Below are 19535 nucleotides of genomic sequence, written 5' to 3' on the forward strand. Positions count from 1 at the left end.
ATAATGAATGATATTCAGATATTACAAATATATTTTACGTATTTCCTATTTTTGCCACCCTTAACAAACCAACAGAATCTTCATAGATGTTAAATATCAGTTTTGTGTAAATACAACGCGCTCTAATTTTCTTTCTTTTTTTTTTTTTTTTCTGAGATGGAGTCTCACCGTGTCACCCAGGCTGGAGTACAGTGGCGCGATCTCAGCTCACTGCAACTTCCATCTCCCAGGTTCAAGTGATTCTCCTGCCTCATCCTCCCGAGTAGCTGGGATTACAGGCAGGTGCCACCACACCTAGCTAATTTTTGTATTTTTGGTAGAGACGGGGTTTCACCTTGTTGGTCAGCCTGGTCTCGAACTCCTGACCTCGTGATCCTCCCGCCTCGGCCTCCCAAAGTGCTGGGATTACAGGCGTGATCCGCTGCGCCCAGCCAATGCTGTTTCTTTGTTTAGTGTTGGGTTCGTTTTGGGTGGTTGGCTTTTTTGTTCGTTTTGTTATATTATTCTTGCTTTTTCTTCTGTCTTATACAGAATCTAGTTTTCTTTGCCTGCATATTGAGTCCTTTTCACTTCCTAGAGACTAAAGTGTCTCTTACTTAGTCTCTTTCATTGAGATTTTAATATTCTTCTGTGATCACTATAGTGTATACAAAATAGAATGCATTGAATATGATATTCTATATTTTCCTACATAGCTTGTCTTAAATATTCTCTCTGCTAGCTAGGTAAATTGGAGCAGTTTGCATGCAACCTCTCTGAACTTTCTTCATTGATTAAGGAGGGATAAGATTTACTTTGGAGGTCTGTTGGAAATATTTGAGGGGGCTCATGCCAAGTGCCCAGCACATTGGCCAGCATACGCTTGCTGTATCATTATTATAGTAGTTTAGAGTAGTGATGGTGAGGGCATTGGAGTGATGATGATAGTGGTCGGAACATGGTCTTCACAGTTGCCTTATTGGTCATAGCCTAGGAGTATTGCCTACTAACAAACCCAAATGTAACTTTGTCCCTGCTATGGAACATTTAGGATGTTTTCCATTTTTGCCCCTTATAAATCATGTCTCACTAAACGTCTTCCTTCATACAGTTTTATTCTTCTTTTGAATGTAACGTTTGGATGGGTTCCTAGCAGTAAAATTACTGAGTGAAGGGATATGTGCATTCATAAAGCTCTCGATAAATGAATATTGCCTGATTACTTTTCACAAGGGTGCTATGAATTTATACTCCCACCCAAATCAAGAGAATGGCTATTTATAGATGCTTTCAGAGCCTTAGCTTATCTTGTTTCCTGTTTGAACTTTATTACATAAATTTTCCTTTAAAACTGTCACACACACACACACACACACACACACACACACTTTTATGGGGCCTTGGGGCCAAAGATGGAATGAAACTATCATTTATCACATGATTTTGATAGGAAGCTGTTGTTAGGATTGAGATGCTTGCTTCTGATGATGCAGAAGACAGTTTTAATTAGTATGTGGCATTAAATAAGATCAGTTTGCATATTGGAAATGATATTCTTTTTCAATTATCTTTCAGTCCTCTGATCAGATCAAAGAGGAAGTCTCAGCTTGGTGCTAACACGCCTTTAACACCGCTCTGGCCCCTTTTTACCTGTAAGATGAAGAGCTTTCCATAGGCAACAGTTTCTAGCTCAAATTTAATGGTGTCATTAGGTCTCCAGCATGTTTATTTTTATGTTTTCCTTCTTTTATGTGAAGTGATACTAATGTTTTATTTAAAATGATACAAAGTTTTCATTTTGAACACATTTAATTAAAAATATGAGTTACGCATAGAGCAAACACCCTGACAGTGTCACTCCAATAACTGAACTTGTGACATGCTACTTGGAGAGTGCATTCCAACAGTTGCCCCACTGATCATATAATAACAACACGTTTCCCTTGACAATACACTGAATACAAGTCTCCATAATGCCTGACATAGTTTGGGACTTTGTGATTGTCCCTTTATCCCTATTCATTTGTGAGTGTAAGGACCTTGCAGTGGCTCATGAAGAGAGTTGCTTTTTATTTTTTATTTTTAAAATTTTTTTTGAAGACTCTTAACAAAGTATAACCATTTTGAAAATGCCTATCTATTACCCTAGATAAAAATTACCTAGTATCGGAAGAGTATCTAAAAAGATATTCAAGGGGTACAAGTGCAGGCTTCTTACATGCACACACTGTGTAGTGGGAAGTGTGGCCTTTTAGTGAACCCATCACCCAAAGAGTGAACGTTGTACCCAACAGGTGATTTTTCAGCTCTCACCCTCCTCCCACCCTCCCACTTTCCGAAGTCCCCACTGTCTCTTATTCCACTCTGTATGTTCACAAGTACCCATTGTTGAGCTCCCACCAAAAAGTGAAAATATGCGGCATTTTTCTGTTTGAGTTATTTCCTTTGGATCATGTCTTCCGGCTTCATCCATGTGGCTGCAAAAGACATGATTTTATTCTTTTTTTAGGCTTGAGTAGTATTTTATGGCATGTGCGTGTGTGTGTATGAGTATGTGTGTGTGTATATATGTTTTTGTGTGTGTACACATCTTTATAGATATGTTTATATATACGTATAGATATATTTACATATATGTATAGATACAAATATATATATATATATCCCACATTTTCTTTTTTTCTTTTTTGAGACTGATTTTCACTCTTGTTGCCCAGGCTGGAGTGCAATGGCGCGATCTCGGCTCACTGCAACCTCTGACTCTTGGGTTCAAGTGATTCTCCTGCCTCAGCCTCATGAATAGCTGGGATTACAGGCATGCACCACCATGCCCGGCTAATTTTGTATTTTTAGTAGAGACGAGGTTTCTCCATGTTGGTCAGGCTGGTCTCAAACTCCCAACCTCAGGTTATCCACCCTCCTCAGCCTCCCAAAGGGCTGGGATTACAGGCGTGAGCCACTGCATCTGGCCCCACATTTTTTTTTATCCTGTCTTCTGTTGATGGACACTTAGGTTCATTCCATGTCTTTGCTATTGTGAATAGTGCTATGATAAACACACAAGTGCAGGTATTGTTTTGATATAACGATTCCTTTTCCTTTGTGTATATACCTGGTAGTGGGATTGCTAGGTTGAATGGTAGTTCTGTTTTCAGTTCTTTGAGAAATCATCATACTGTTTTTCATAGAGTTTGCACTAATTTACACTCCCACCAACAGTATATAAGCATTCTTTTTTCTCTTCAGCCTCACCAATATTTGTTGTTTAAGACTTTTTAATCATAGCCATTCTGACTGGTATAAGATGATATCGCATTGTCGTTTCAATTTGCATTTCTCTGATGATTAGTGATATTGAGCATTTTTCATATGTCTGTTGGCCCGTCGTACGTGTCCTTTTGAAGAATGTCTGTTCATGTTGTTTGCCCCACTTTCTTTTGTTTGTTTGTTTGTTCTGAGCTGGAGTCTCGTTCTGTCACCCAGGATGGAGTTCAGTGGTGTAATCTTGGCTCACTGCACTGTCCGCCTCCTGGGTTCAAGCAATTCTCCTGCCTCAGCCTCCCTAGTAGCTGGGATTACAGGTACCTGCCACCATGCCTGGCTAATTTTTGTGTTTTTAGTTGAGACCTGGTTTCACCATGTTGGCCAGGCTGGTCTCGAACTCCTGACCTCAGGAGATCGGCCTGCCCTGGCCTCCCAAAGTGCTGGGATTATAGGTGTGAGCCACCGCACCCGGCCTACCCACTTTTAATTGGGTCATTTTTGTTGTTTGAGTTCCTTGTAAATTCTGGATAATAGTCCTTTGTTGAATACATACTTTACAAATATTTTTCCCATTCTCTAGGTTATCTGCTTAGTCTGTTGATTGCTTATTTTGCTGTGCAGAAGCTTTTAAGTTTAATTAAATTTGAATTGTCCATTTTTTTTTTTTTTTGGTCATGTTTGCTTTTGAGGACTAGGCCATAAATCCTTTGCCGAGGCCAATATCTGGAAGAGTTTTTCCTAGGGTTTCTTCTAGAATTTTTATAGTTGCAGGTCTTATGTTTAGGTCTTTAATCCATCTTGAGTTAATTTTTGTATATGGTGAAAGCTGTGGGTCCAATTTCACTCTTAGGTATATGATTATCCAATTTTCCATATGGGTGTTTAGGCCAACACCATTTATTGAATAGAGCGTCATTTCCCTATCATATATTTTTGCCGACTTTCTTGAAGATCAGTTGGTTGTAGGTATGTGGCTTTAGTTCTGGATTCTCTGTTCTGTTCCATTAATCTAGATTTATACCAGTACCATCCTGTTTTGGTTACTATAGCTTTGTAGTATAATTTGAAGTCAGGCAATATGATGCATCTAACTTAGTTCTTTTCACTTAGGATTTGTTATAAAACCAATTCTTTATTGGCTGTAAATCAAATAAAATTTTATATCTAAGCAAGTCCTCCAGATTCCTGACCAGGTGAGTAATCCAGTAGCTTGGCAGATTAAGAACAGCAATATGCAAGCAATGAGGGATGAGTAAATCAAGACTGTCATTGTGAATAGAATGATTTGGAAGTTGGGTGTTCAAATAGCTTAATGATAGTTATAGTGAATAACAATGTCAGCTTTAGTATTATTCTAGTAATGTACTTGGTAATGCTAATAGGGTTTGATGGAATACAGTGAACACTTTCCAAACAGCTGTATGCTTTCCCAACAAAGGAACTCTATCTCGGAGCAGACTGATACATCATTTCAATGGGAGATTTTAATCAATCCTTTTGTTTTCCCTTTTAGGATATATTTAAATTTGCAAGAACTTCTCCTGTCCCAAGACAAAAGAGGTCCATTGTGGTATCTCCCATTTTAATTCCAGAGAATCAGAGACAGCCTTTCCCAAGAGATGTTGGCAAGGTAAGTCAGACAAACAGCAAATGACAAAAACATGTTTTTATGAAAAGATGAGCACAGCAGACTGAGTATGACTGTCTTGGTGACCAGCTGGAATTAGTCTTCATCTGTCTATGATAAGAGACCAAATGGTTTAGTCATGAAAAGAATGTTGGAAGATCATTCATATGCAAAAGAGGAAATTGGAAAAAACCAATAGCAGCTTTGAATATTACGGGATCAACATGGTAGATGATGTTGAAATTAAGCAGGAAGATGTCAATGGTTAAGAAACAAGGCTCATTGCTTTTATAGATTATATTCAGGTGATCACCAGATAGGGCCCCCTAGGATGGTAGTATGTTGACATGTGGCCTTCACTGAGATCCTGTTTTTCAAATATTTAGGTCTACGCGTACCACTGGGTCGGTTTTCCAAAAACTAAACCAGATCAAGGGAATAAAATCATACTAATCATATCCAGAATCGGATATGGAAAACACTGTCCCATGAATCAGAACAATAGCTTTTCCAGGAAGAAATAGTCACTGTTAAATGTGCCAAAATACGGATACTGCCTCATCAGTACATTCTCCCCTCTTTAAGAGAGTCAACATGGAGAATCAAATTTTGAGCAGTTTGTACTTTTTGGTTGTTAGAAACAAGTGCTCAGTGCCGCAAAGGAGAACCAGCACTCAGGAAAAGAGTTTTCTCAGCAAGGCAATTTACTTCTGCGGAAGGGTGCTGCTTGTACTTCTGGCCACTGGGAGAGCACACCAAACAAAAGAGGGAAGGGGTTTTTATCCCTCACGTGGTTAGTCCCTGCTTCTGTGTCCTGTCCCCATTGGCTGGAGTTGGATTGCACAATCTAAGCTGACCTGATTGGCTACTGTTTAAAATTGAATATGGCTAATTAGGCAGGAAGGGAGAGGCTGTCTGTTATGGTACAAGGCATGTTTGGGCATGTCAGGGCACGGCAAAGGCGGGAAGGGTAGTTTCATTGGGAAGAGCTGTTTTGGCTGGAGGGGCAGTTTACAGAATGGGTAGCCAGGATTAAAGAGGACTCTTTCCAAATAAGAAAGAGATGTGAGTCACAGATTGGGACTAATGGGAGAAGTTGTTTATAGAGCAGGTAGCTTAGGAGAAGGGACAAGGAAGTTGATCTCGAGAACAAAGAACAAGGGAGTCAGAAATTAAACGTTTGAAAAGGAACTTACTGTATCAGACATTGGTGAGCCTGGAATTCGAAAAATGGTGGTTGGTTAAATGAATGATCTTAATGGCAGTTGCTGTTGAACTACTAATTCATTAAATACACAGTACATGTGATATGCTGGACTCCAAGCTTTGGACTGGGTGTGAAGAAGCAGATAATAAAGCTAACATGCTAGTGGGAAGACAGAAACAAGAACATTGCAGAGTATGACAAATGCTGTGAAAATCAGCAATGGGATGATGTGAAAAAAAGAGCAAATGGCAGGATGAAGGAGTAGAGGGAGGAGGGAATCTTCACGCAGATGGCTGTGATGGCTGGTTGGAGGTACTGATATTTGAGGGGAGACTGGAAGGGTGAGAAAGGAACAGTTACAGGTATATCTGGTTGAACAGCATCTTTGGCAGAGGTGAGTCTACATTGCAAAGGCCTGAAGATGGGAAAGAATAGCATGTAGTAGAGTCGCAACATGCCTGGGTTGCATGAGAGTAAGCAAGGATGACAGTGGTAAAAGTGAAATCAGAGAGGCCAGCCTGCCCTTGGATGAGGAGTTGGGGTTTCATCGTGCATGCAGCAGGGGACCACTGGAAGATTTCCCCAGAAGACTGCATGTTTTGAAAGATCATCCTGGCTGCCTTGTAGAGAATGATTAGTGGTAGCAGAGCAGTAGAGAGGAGTGGAAGCAAAGAGACCCACTAAGAGGGGAGTTTGGTGGTGATCTGAACAAAGGTGACTTGGACTATTGAAAATTGATCTTGGACGGGCATGGTGGTTCACGCCTGTAATCCCAGCACTGTGGGACGCTGAGGCGGGAGGATCACCCGAGGTCAGGAGTTCAAGACCATCCTGGCCAACGTGGCGAAACCCCGTCTCAACTAAAAATACAAAAATTAGCCAGTGTCATGGCACGCCTGTAATCCCAGCTACTTGGGAAGCTGAGGCAAGAGAACCACTTGAACCCAGGAGGTGGAGGTTGCAGTGAGCCGGGATCATGCCAGTGTACTCCAGCATGGGCGACAGGGTGAGACTCTGTGTCAAACAAACACACAAACAAAAAATCGATCTTTATTGCAAATTGAAAGAAGTGCTAATCCAATATCCTGGTAATCATTATATTTATCATTTTAAACTCCCACTGTGCCAAAGATACCTTTCTCTAAGCAAAAATCTTTTTAAGAGTCTGGGACATGATACAAAGGGAAGCAGAGCTGCTCTAAAGGGATAGCCCTGTCCCCTTGGGCAGCCCTAGCCACTGTGATGATCCTTTTCTAGACAGGTTTCCTGGGAGCCCAAGATGCCAGATGCCAAGGGACCTGACTCCCCACTTCTTCAAAACTCTTCCCAAACAGTTTCTGAGACTCAAGATGCATTCTCGTTTTTCAGTTTTCTTTTAGATAATCCTGGGCTTCTCAGCTCTCACCATGCATCAGAATCAGCAGAGACACTTAAAATGCAGATGTCAGGGCTCCACCCTCAGAGATTGATTCCACTGGGGTGGGGGTGAGGACCATGCATCAATATATGTTAAAATATCCGAGGTGATTCAGATATGCAGCCGAGGTGGAGGACTGCCGGTCTTAAGCAGTCCTCCAAGAGTGGTTGTGGACCAGCTACATTAGCATCGCCTGGGAGCTTGCTAGAAATGCATATTTTCATGTCCCACCCCAAAACCACTGAGCCAAAAACTCTGGGGTTAAAGCCAGGAATCTGCGTTTTTACACAGCTTCTAGGTGATTGTGATGCACACTCAAATTTACAGAGGGCTGACCTGAAATGCACTTTCTCCTCCTGTCCACCACTAGTACACAATACTTTCAGTTGCAATTCCATTAATTAGGTTATAATAAGGACAATCACATTTCAGTTGCCTGGAAAATCCCAGTTTACACCTGTCGTCCAAATCTGTCATGTCCAGATTTAGACAATAAATTATGTAGCCATCCTATAGTTTTCTTCAATTACACACAATTTCCTCCGGGGTATATTTGGGTGAATTTTCTCACAAGCCTCTTTTCTTGAGCTATTCAATGGGTCCATAAGCATGCAGCTAATTGGGAACATTCTTCTGCATTGTTTTTTTACTTATTACAGCTTCAAAAAGCAATTTGGTTTGCAAGCTGAGGACTCACTTCTTCTTAGCCCCTTATGTGTTGCCCATACTTGTTCTCAACTTAGATTCTCTACAAAGCAACTGCTTTTCTAAGTGTGGTAGGCTACTAACTAGACAATGCGCAAGAGCCTTCAAAACCTCTAGATGTTTTTTGTAGAATTACTGCACTGCTTTGCAAAAACTATTTATTTGTCCCTGCTTTTTATGCCTTTGAAGGTACGTATTTTCCTTTTTGTTCCTGCTTGTTTCTATTTATCTGTCTTACTCTTTATATCTCCTGTCTTATCCTCATCAACTCCACCACAGCTGACGAGCTGTGCTCTGCAGAGCTGTGGAAGAGGACGTAGGTGTTTTCAGTGAGTGCTGGGGAGGCAGGGAGAAGGGAAGGAAGACCACAGAGGCAGAGCTCTGGCCTCCAAACACCACCACGCTCCCAAAAAATGTCTAAGTCAGGACACCTCTAATTTTATAAATATTACGTATTAGACTTCGATATAGAATGCCATTTGAAGAAGAGATTCTGCAGCTCTAAAAGTATAAAGACGTTTGTCTTTGGCTTCCCCTAGAAGTGGACCGCAAGACAAGAATTCAAATGAAGGCAGTTCATTTCAGAGGTGGAGGAAATATTTGTAATAAAGTAAGGGAGAGACGTGGAGAAGGGAAGGCAGCTAGGAGAGAAGCTTGTTTATGAAGCCAGCTACCCCTGTGGGTGACTGGATTGTAATGTCAGGGGCTAACTTTAACATGGTGTGGAACACACTGTCAGCGTTACACCACCCCCAGGGGATGGCACTGGGATACTTTGACACCAGCTGGGGTATTTCTACTCCCAGCAGTCACTGGTGGAGGGCCGCTTCCAGGGGTGTAAATTCCCTGGCATATCTGGTCTGCCCTGCACTCTGTGCACTGACGCGACAGCCTGCTGAGGTTTGGAGGAGAACCTTAGACAAAAAGGATTCTGTACAGCAGCCACCAGTCTGCTGGTCTGCACTGAAAAGCTGACACATAGAGGATGTGGACAGGGCACTGATCCCTTCTGCTTCATCACCAAAACTAATATATCTATATTATTTTTTGCATACTTCATTTCATCCTCTGCTTTTACCTCATTTCCTGAACTAGCATTCTCATGTCCTGGGCTTTTGAAACCCCCTGTACTTGCCTCTCTCTCTCCATTAATAAGTAGTTCCTGCATCCCAGGAGGGAAAACCTCTGAAATTCAACCTAATTCATATCAACAAGCATATATTCAGCATCTGTTTTTATAAGGAACTGTGCTAGGGGCTGGGAATTTAATGGAGGAGAAAACAGACAGAATCATTGATCTTGCGGGATTACAAAAGAGGTGACAATATCAGCACATAGTCATTATTTGTCCAGCACTGTGCTAAGCACTTTTCATCTATTATGTTGAATTCTTATGATAACAACCACATGAGGATCATTTTCCAGCATGCCAATGAAGGTAATGAGACTCAGGGGTGACGTAACCTGTCCAAAGCCACACAGCTAGTTCATAACAGAGCCAAGCTTTGTTACTGCTTTTTGAGATTTCAAAGTCTGTGCTCTTAACCAGTATCCTCAGGAAATACTAAGCCCAATCTGAGAATACTCTTCCGTGGAATGAAATATCTTCACTGACAATTTCTCTTTTTAAAACAGCATTAAAATTGAGTGCAATTCTTGGCAATGCACTCAAAAATAAGGTGGACAGAGGGTTGGATCAATAGATCGATATCTGATATGTGATAAAGGAAGTATATTAAAATGTTAGTGGTAGAATATAAGTTGGTGAACATATGGGTACTTGCTGTACAATTCTTTCGAGTTTTCTCTGCATTTGGAAGTTTTGTAATAAAATGTTGGGAAAAATTAAGTTTAACTAAATATAAAATTATCATAAAAGACACAGGAGTTAGCATGCTGGCACAAAAACGCCTTTTAAATCATTTGTCTTGCATTTCAAGAGGGTGAATGGAGACAAAGTACGTAACTGGTTCTTGATTTTTTTGGTCATATTTTATTACAACCTGAATTCCTGTAAAGAAAGGAGACTCATATCCTGAAGAATGAAGACATCAAAAGCAAGGTGCTGTGGCAAGTTAGCCCTTGGTGGAGGGTTTTTCACAACTGGATATCCTGCTGTGTAGAACTGAATACCCACAGCAGGGTTATTCAGGCAGCTCCAGGGATGAGAGAAAGTGTCTTGACTGATACATAATTTATCTGTCTGCCAAGTAATTAGTTGGTTGGTAAGTAGCTAAACTACTAGAATTTGGGATCTGCTTTTCCGTAATACGAGGGAATCATATTACAACCCTGAGATTCCAAATCACTGCTACTCACTTAGATAGCAGGTGGGGAGTATAAGGGGGTGTATGACCCCCCCCCCCCCCCCCCCGCCCACAGACACACACAGGAGACAACCCGAGAGATCACTGCCAGCCCTGGGAAAATGAGTTTGCCTCCTAATTTCTGGCTCTTTTCCATGGTGCATTCTGCCCTAGACTATCTGTCATAGTTTTGGAAGACAAGGTAAAACACCCAGTCGTGAACATACTTGCTCATACCTGTGATTTTCTTTCCATTTTTGAACTCTAGACAGCAGGGAGGAGCTGACAGTGAGTGCTCTGGAGAGGAACATGCAGATCCCAAAGTGGCTTTTTCCCCTCCCCCTTCAAAGTATGACTATTTCAAAATTTGGGCCATAAATAATTTCTCAGTTTTACCAACTTTCACTGATAACTAATTGATTGCATCTTTAAAGATTTTTGAGTTCTTGGGCCCGATTGATTGAGAGCAGGGGACTTTAAATCTGTAAGCCAGCAGGGAGGTCTTTGGGAGATGTATTTTATTCTGTTTTATATTAAGTTTGAAAGACAAGTCATTTATGAAATGCTTATTAGAGATTCTGCTTTCATCACAAACCCTTTTCATCAAAACCAATGAAAGTACTTTTTTACAGAAAATCCTGTTTTAAAGACCCTATAAATTGGTAGAATGGGCATTTAGAAGGCCATCTTTAACCCAGGATAGAAGAAATATGTAACTGGGCCAAGTGCTGTTTGTAAAGGGAATCAACATTGATCATTAGACTAAATCATGAAAACCACTCAACCAGGACTCCGCTTTGATTGTGTCATGAACGTAAGTCAGACATGACGGTAATTTACATCAGCTTTGCCATGTTCCTCAGTGTTCTGTGCATCTGATTCTTAGAGGTCTCACTGCATCCAGATACTCTGTACCTGAGATTTATGCCCACCTATGCGAATAGGTGCCAAGGAGTCTGATAGTCTTGGAATTTAATTTGTTTTATTCTATTTAATAGCCATTTGCCTCACTTTGAAGACCCACGAAGACCAAGCTATATCCTTAGAGGCTGAACCAGAAAGCTGGTACTGAAGCCCCAGCACCTCTCCATCACCCCTCTCCTGAAATGCAGACTCAGGGTTACTTGCTGTTGCCTGATTGATTTTATGATCAGGCACTTACTGGGTTGTCTAGGGTAACCCAGTAATTGCTGTCATCCCTCTACCTCTTTTAAAATCTATTGTTTTGTGCCCTTTATCTATGTCTAACTATATACACTTTTCTCAGAAATTTACATCTGCTTAATTTCTACCCCCCACCCACCCCCCAACACCCCCCCCTTTTTTTTTTTTTGAGACAGAGTCTTTCTCTGTCACCAGGCTGGAGTGCATTGGTGCAATCTCTGCTCACTGCAACGTCCGCCTCCCAGCTTCAAGCAATTCTCCTGCTCAGCCTCCCTAACTGGGACTACAGGTGGATGCCACCACGCCCAGCTAATTTTTGTATTTTTTTAGTAGAGACAGGGTTTCACCATGTTGGCCAGACTCATCTGGATCCATCTGCCTCGGCCTCCCAAAGGGTGGGGATTACAAGCATGAGCACCTGGCCTTAATTTCCCCCTTTTAAGGCAACTAGCAGTTTTATTCAATAACTGAAACTTACCATAGGCTAGAGTATAGGAGAAAAATTGGAATACAGAGTATCTAAGATGCCTAAAGGCTCAGTGCTCAAAAATTCTTCTTGAGATGAACATCACAGTTTATTTCTACATTCAGCAGCCATAGCTACACATAAGCCTTTCCTATTTCCAAGTCTTTGAACTGTCAGTTCTTCCTGGGATACACCCTCTGTATCCTTATTCCTTAGGAGCAGCCCACATTCACACTCTAAGGCTGCACTGTCCCATGGAACATTGACATTATTGCAGGAAGTTCTGCCTCTACACAGCCCAATATGGTACCCACTAACCACATGTGGTCAATGCAGTTATAAAGTCTTTACTAATTTTAATTGGGGCTCAAAAAGTAACACTTCATTCCATTATTGGGACAACTTGGCAGTTGAATGTACCTTTTTCCTGATACATTTTAATCTATTTACAGATAAAATATTTTTTACTGAAAACGCAATGTCCACACTGAGATGTTTTGTAAGCGTAAAATACACATTGGATTTCAAAAGCTTATCACACGAACACAAAAAGAATGGAAAATGTCTCCTTAATAATCTTTGTATTGATTTCATTTGGAAACAAATCCCTTGTATTTCTTTTCACTTTTTTTTTAACGTGGCTGCCAGAAAAGTATTAAATTATTAATATGGCTCACGTATTTTTATCAGATGGTGCTAATGTAAATAAGGCCTATTTTTGATACAGTCTCTCCTCAGTGGAATTATGTTTTTGAGACAGAGTCTTGCTCTGTCACCCACACTGGAATGCAGTGGCGTGATCTGTGCTCACTGCAACCTCTGCCTCCGGGGTTCAAGAGATTCTCATGCCTCAGCCTCCCTAATAGCTGAGATTACAGGTATGCACCACCATGCCTGGCCAACTTTTGTATTTTTGGTAGAGATGGGGGTTCACCATATTGGTCAGGCTGGTCTCAAACTCCTGGCCTCAAGTGATCCACCTGCCTCGGCTGCCCAAAGTGCTGGGATTACAGGTGTGACCCACTGAGCCCGGCCCATGGAATTTTACTTGATCTCTTTTATACATTGTTTATACATCTTTGATGGCACTTAACACATTTTGAGAGACAATGTCCTTCCCTGCCTTCCCACTAACTGTAATTCATCAGATGCGGTGGCCCAGGACAGGGCCTAACACAGAGTAGCGACTCAAATATTCTCTGAATTGAATTCTAGCCATATGTATGGCTGATTAACATAGACATTCACTGCTTACTGATTAATTAAAGTGATCATAGCCTGCTTTGTTGTTAGAATGGAATTAATAGACCATTATATGATCAGTCTGGATATTTCCAGCAAATTTTAATTTTCTAAATTGGTAATGAGGCCACCAGATAAATTGCTTGGCAGTCAACTATTATGTCAGGTCATATAAGCATTCTTAGTAGATTTGTTTTTTTTCTTTGAGACAGAGTCTCGCTCTGTCGCCCGGGCTGGAGTGCAGTGGCACAATCTTGGCTCACTGCAACCTCTGCCTCCCAGGTTCAAGCAGTTCTGCCTCAGCTTCCCAAGTAACTGGGATTACAGGCGCCCGCCACCATGCCCAGTTAATTTTTGTATTTTTAGGAGAGATGAGCTTTCACCATGTTAGCCAGGCTGCTCTGGAACTCCTGACCTCAGGTGATCCACCTGCCTCGGCCTCCCAAAGTGCTGGGATTACAGGCATGAGATGCTGTGCCCAGCCAGTAGATCTTGATAGATTTGATGTTGATGGATTTTATGTGGGGATGGGGTGGGGGGAGAGAGAGAGAGAGAGAGAGAGAGAGAGAGAGAGAGAGAGAGAGAGAGTGAGTTACATGACTGTATTTCTGAATTTGCCTATGTATATGATGGTGTTTTAATTCCAATTAAATGAAAACACTCATAACTTTTATCTTTTTTCACAACTGAACACAGTCAATTCTAACTTATTTTTGCTAAGTCTAATAAAAGCTATGTTCACCATTCGCAAGTGTTGCCCTCCTGCAAATTTTAATTAATGACAAAACATAATCGGGTGGTTTTGGCTTTTTGCCAAATACATATATATGCAAAACTTCCCTCCATGATCTACATCCCGCAAATAAAGGCATCTGAGCCCAAGGAGGAAGCAATATTTTTAACCCTGAGTTTATCACCCTTTCGGTTCTCCATTTTAAAGGTTCCTAGAACTTTATTGTTATTATGAACATCTGGCCTCAGACTGAATTTATATTTAATTATTTGTGAACATTCAAGGACCAGGCATTTCAGCTTGAATTAGCATCCAGACTCAGGGTTGTTGAAGAATTTTCAAATTGGACTAGAATGTTCACTACCTAATGAATGTCTGGATCTAAGCCAAACATGGCTAACCCTACTGTCCTGCTTAGTTTTTACAACAGCCCTATAAAGTAGGCAATCCTACACTCATTTCTCAGATGAGAAAGTGGAAATTAAGAGAGATTAAGTAACTTGCCCAGGGTAACCCTCTTAAAGAACGGCAATGCTGAGACCCAAAACCAAGACTCTTCAATGCCACATCAGTGATCTGTCCACCACAACGTGTGTGAATGCTTAAAGCTTCCATGGGTCTTTGCTGTTTGCATAGCACACTCACACAAATGGTCATTTGACTCTCATAAGTACCCTCAGAAATCAATATTATGTCCCCATTGTACAGTGGAGGCTCTGAACTGAGCATGACCAAGGTGCAGAAGCATCTTGCAAAACAGTCTATTTGTGGTACAAACTGAGTTGCCTTTCTGTGTCACCTGCAATTGTACCAGGGCTCTGGATGGATTTTAAAATAGCACATGGCATGAGTTAAGCCACTATGGAAAACAGTGTGGAGATTCCTGAAAGAACTAAAACTAGAACTACCATTTGATCCAGCAATCCCACTACTGGGTATCTACCCAGAGGAAAAGAAGTCATTATATGAAAAAGATACTTGCACACACACGTTTATAGCAGCACAACTCACAATTGCAAAATCATGTAACCAAATGCCCATCAATCCACAAGTGGATAAAGAAACTGTGACATATGTATATATGATGGAATACTACTCAGCCATCCAAAGGAATGAATTAATGGCATTTGCAGCAACCTGGATGAGATTGGAGACTATTATTCTAAGTGAAGTAACTCAGGAATGGAAAACCAAACATCATATGTCCCCACTGACATGTGGGAGCTAAGCTATGAGGACGCAAAAGCATAGGCATGATACAACGGACTTTGGGGACTGGGAGGAAAGGATGGGAGAGGGGAGAGGGATAAAAGACTGTAAACAGGATGCCGTGTATTCTGATCGGGTGATGGGTGCACCAAAATCTCACATATCACCACTAAAGAACTTATTCATGTAACCAAACACCACCTGTACCCCAACAACCTATAGAAATTAAAAAAAAAAAAAAAGAAATAGACTTTGTCTGGGCACGGTGGCTCATGCCTGTAATCCCAGCACTTTGGGAGGCCGAGGCAGGCGGATCATGAGGTCAGGAGATCGAGACCATCCTGGCTAACATGGTGAAACCCTGTCTCTACTAAAAAATACAACAAAAATTAGCCGGGCGTAGTGGTGTGCGCCTGTAGTCCCAGCTACTCGGGAGGCTGAGGCAGGAGAATGGCGTGAACCCAGGAGGCAGAGTTTGTAGTGAGCCGAGATCGCTCCACTGCACTCCAGCCTGGGCGACAGAGCGGGACTCTGTCTCCAAAAAAAAAAAAAAAAAAAAAGAAATAGACTTCACTAGAGGAAGGAGAAACATACAAGCCAGGGGTGAGCCAAGGATGAGAAGCATAGCTCACCATCCCCCTCATTCCACAGGGAGGTCTGCCAGGGGAGAAACTGGGCTCTCATAGCTGTTCCTTCTCTGCCGGACAGCTTCAGTACAATCTTGTTAGTGGACAGACGATCAAACACCAGGGATGTTCCGCAGCCTGAATGCAGACAGCTTCAGTACAATCTTGTTAGTGGGTAGATGATCAAACACCAGGGATGTTCCGCAGCCTGAATGCAGGTTCCCAGATTCGTAGGAGTGGTCTGAGATTCCAAAGTTCAAAGTCAGATGCTTTGGGTAGGGATGTGCTGGAAAACTGGCTCTCGGAGGCTGGAAGCCTTGAGTTGGAGTGTTTGCAGCTACTTTGGCATAAATTCTCCCACAGCGGCCAGTTTCAAGCTAGCAGCTTACAAAATCTCTGAATGTTTAACAATGGACTTCCATGAAGGAGTAGGGTTGACTTCAGCACGGCACTGGCCTTGGGACTCAGGGACCGTGACACTGGAAGGGGTCAGGGGGCACATGGGTCCCAGGGGAGCTACGCTTGAGTGAAGCCCTCCATTGTGGAGAAGTGGCTTCCACACCCACCTGTTCACCCCGGGTTGCAGCTGGTCTCATGCCCAGTTTAGCAGTGAGGATCATTTTTTGACAACTCTGCCTGTTGCAGGTGTTAAGTAACTTGTCCAACTTCATGCAGCAAGTGCAACATAAAAGCAAAGCTCCACCACTCTTCTCCTTGGCACAGAAAAATCCAAGTCACTCTCCTAAGGCTGGAAAATTCTGCAGCAATTGTCCCAGTTCTACCTGGAAAATGAGGAAGGGAGTGATAAAATTCTCTGTGAAGTGAGGAGAAATGAGGTTAACCTCGCCAACATTTATTTGATGTGCGTGTTTGTGCGCTGAGTCAGGGCCGGAGGTCGTGTCTTCGTTTAACAAATAGACCACATGTTGACAAGCAAAAAACGGCTTTCTTTGTCTGGCAAGAAAAGCCACTGCCTCGCTTCAGACAACGCTTTTTTTTGTTGGTGTCTCCGCTGACAACCCTGTTCAAAGAGAGCCACAAGGAATGAAAGTGAAAGCAGAAAAAGCCAACTTCGGTGTAATTAAGAGATATCACTGCCCGTTTTTCTCAGTGATGAGGCCGCAGCTGACTCAGTCGATAAGGGCCGTGAAGGAGTGGGGCCCAGGGCGCAGTGGGGATGGACTGGCCTTTTCACGGTCCAATTACTGGTCCAATTACTAGTCCAAGTTTTGAAGAGGATTGAAGTAGAACTGGATGGAGATGGGAAAGAGACCAATAAAGTGTTTTTTGTTTTTTAGGTTTTTTTTTTAAGAGGGGAGGAATGAATGAAGAACTTCTTTTATTTTCTTTTCCGGCTTGGAGCTAGCTCTGGTTCCCAAATAGGGTCCTGGGGGAAAGACGTGATGTGAGTCTGGGTGGCTGGGAACAGTCCCTCCTGGGTATCTGCGCTTGGCCCACTTCTGCAACCAGTAATGGAGGAGACAGAAGAACGCTTGAATGTGGGTTTAATTGTTCCCATCTGTGAGTGTTGCATTAAAGATGTTGCTGTCTTCTGTTGCATCGGGTGGTTTGGGACAAGTGATGAAGAAAGAGAGTCAGTTGATGCCTCTTGAGCAGGCATACACTCTCCCTAGGCTGAAAATTGAGCTGCATTAATTCAGAAATATTTACTGAGCAACTACTATGTGTCAAGCACTGCACTGGCTACTGCTTATGGATTCCCCCGAGAAGAATGCCCGTCCTAGGAGAGGGGGCAGACCTGTAAACAGGCAGACAAGCGCTGTGATGGGGTGCTGTGGGATCTTGGAAAAATCGAGAAGGCAGAAGAAGTAATTCCGAAGAGGACTCCTGAAGGACGCCTAAGAGCAGGCAACGCGAAGCTGAGATGGGAAGAAAGCGCTCTCCAGGCAGTGGGAAGAACATGATCCAGTATCTACGGGCGAGAGGGACGGTGGTCTGTCCAGAGAGGTGAGAATAATTCAAAGTGGCTGTGATGCAAGGAGGAAATTGTCACAAATAAACTTGGAGAAATCATCAAAGGCTGGAAGAGGAAAAATTGTAAAAACTACTGTATGGAATTTGGACCTTTTTCTACGGATGACTAAGTGTTATACATTGGGGAATCACACGATCAGATTTGCATTTCAGGAAGTTTAGTCCTGTTACGCTGGGTAACACCTGAAGGCTGAGAAAACCAGGAGCAGGGGTGACAAAGAGGGAGGCTGTGACAGAAATCCAGGAGGGTGACGAAGGGCTCCCGGGCAGGGGAGAGGCAGAAGGACTGGAAAGAGGGCACAGTGAAGGGCCATGGTGGGGGATACCAGGCAACACTGGCAAGCAAGTGGACAGTGATGAGTGAGGAGGTAGAGGAAGGTCCCCTCTTAGCTGGGACATTATGCCTCTATAGGACGCTGAACAAAGTAACCTGCGGAGGTGTTACTTTGTGGGAATGTAGACTGTGAAACTGAAGGAACTGTTTTATCCACCTCCCCGTAGTTTGCTCTGTGCTGAGGCTGCTGTACTGCTCCTCTTTGAAATAAAAGAGAACTCTTCCCAGAGGTGACAGATCCACCTGCGTGCTGTATGTTGCATGGAGGTGGGCGAACAGGTTATGTGGAGGGTTGTTCTTGGAAAGACGGATTCATTTTGCACCAGTGACAGGCTTGAGGGAACACCAGCGTGTCACACGTCTCTTCCCAGTGTCCCTGACTCATCCATGCCTAGGGATTTTACTTTAGTCCTTCCTTGCTGTGAATTTGAAAACTTTTATTTTATTTTTTTCTACTAGCTAAGAAATGTGTAACAGCTGTGTTCACTGTTGGCCTTCTAGCCTCAAATTTATTTTAAATACATTTCTTCTTAGTGATCTCTTCTTTGAATGCTGATGTTGGCTATGCATTAGTTTACACAATTCACAGGCTCTGTGTTGCTCAATTTTTAGTTCATTTATTTGACAACTTGAAATTCATCACAAGTGGTGCTTTTATTTTGTTATTTGCATCTGGAAATCATTCCTAACATGCCATGAAATACATCTGTTTTTTCCTTTTGCAAATCACTTTTTTTTCTTATTATAAGAGTAATATGTGTTTATTGTAGAAATTTTAGAGAAAAATACACATTGAAAAATAATAATATAAAAATATCCGGCCAGGCGCAGTGGTTCATGCCTGTAATCCCAGCACTTTGGGAGGCCGACCGGGTGGATCACCTGAGGTCGGGAGTTTGAGACCACCCTGACCAACATGGAGAAACCCCATCTCTACTAAAAATACAAAATTAGTTAGGCATGGTGGTGCATGCCTGTAAGCCCAGCTACTCTGGAGGCTGAGGCAGGAGAATTGCTTGAACCCAGGAGGCAGAAGTTGTGGTGAGCCAAGATCATACCATTACACTCCAGCCTGGGCAACAAGAGCAAAACTCCATCTATAAATAAATAAATATCCCTGAGTCCCACCATTGGGGATAACCGCTGTAGACATCCGAGGGTTTTACCTCTCTATTTTTAAAGTGCGTATACATTCATAAAGACACAGCATCAGGCTGTACCACCAGAGGTTTAGATCCCATAGGTCTGGGGTGACACCTAA

General features: G+C 42.3%; 1 protein-coding gene across 9 annotated transcripts in view; it reads left to right on the forward strand.

Annotated features, from left to right (window-relative positions):
• CDH13 (cadherin 13) overlaps positions 1 to 19535 on the forward strand; it is a 1173672-nt gene that overhangs the window by 493660 nt on the left and 660477 nt on the right. For 8 of the 9 annotated variants that reach the window (NM_001220488.2, NM_001257.5, NM_001220490.2 and 5 more), the window contains one exon: positions 4757 to 4873. The exons of the other annotated variant lie outside the window; for it this stretch is intronic. In NM_001220488.2, the coding sequence (NP_001207417.1) occupies positions 4757 to 4873 (117 nt within the window). The remainder of the gene's footprint in view (positions 1 to 4756; positions 4874 to 19535) is intronic. 9 annotated transcript variants of the gene reach the window in all.

Source organism: Homo sapiens, chromosome 16, assembly GCF_000001405.40.
Source record: "Homo sapiens chromosome 16, GRCh38.p14 Primary Assembly".
NCBI classification, from domain to species: Eukaryota; Metazoa; Chordata; class Mammalia; order Primates; family Hominidae; genus Homo; species Homo sapiens.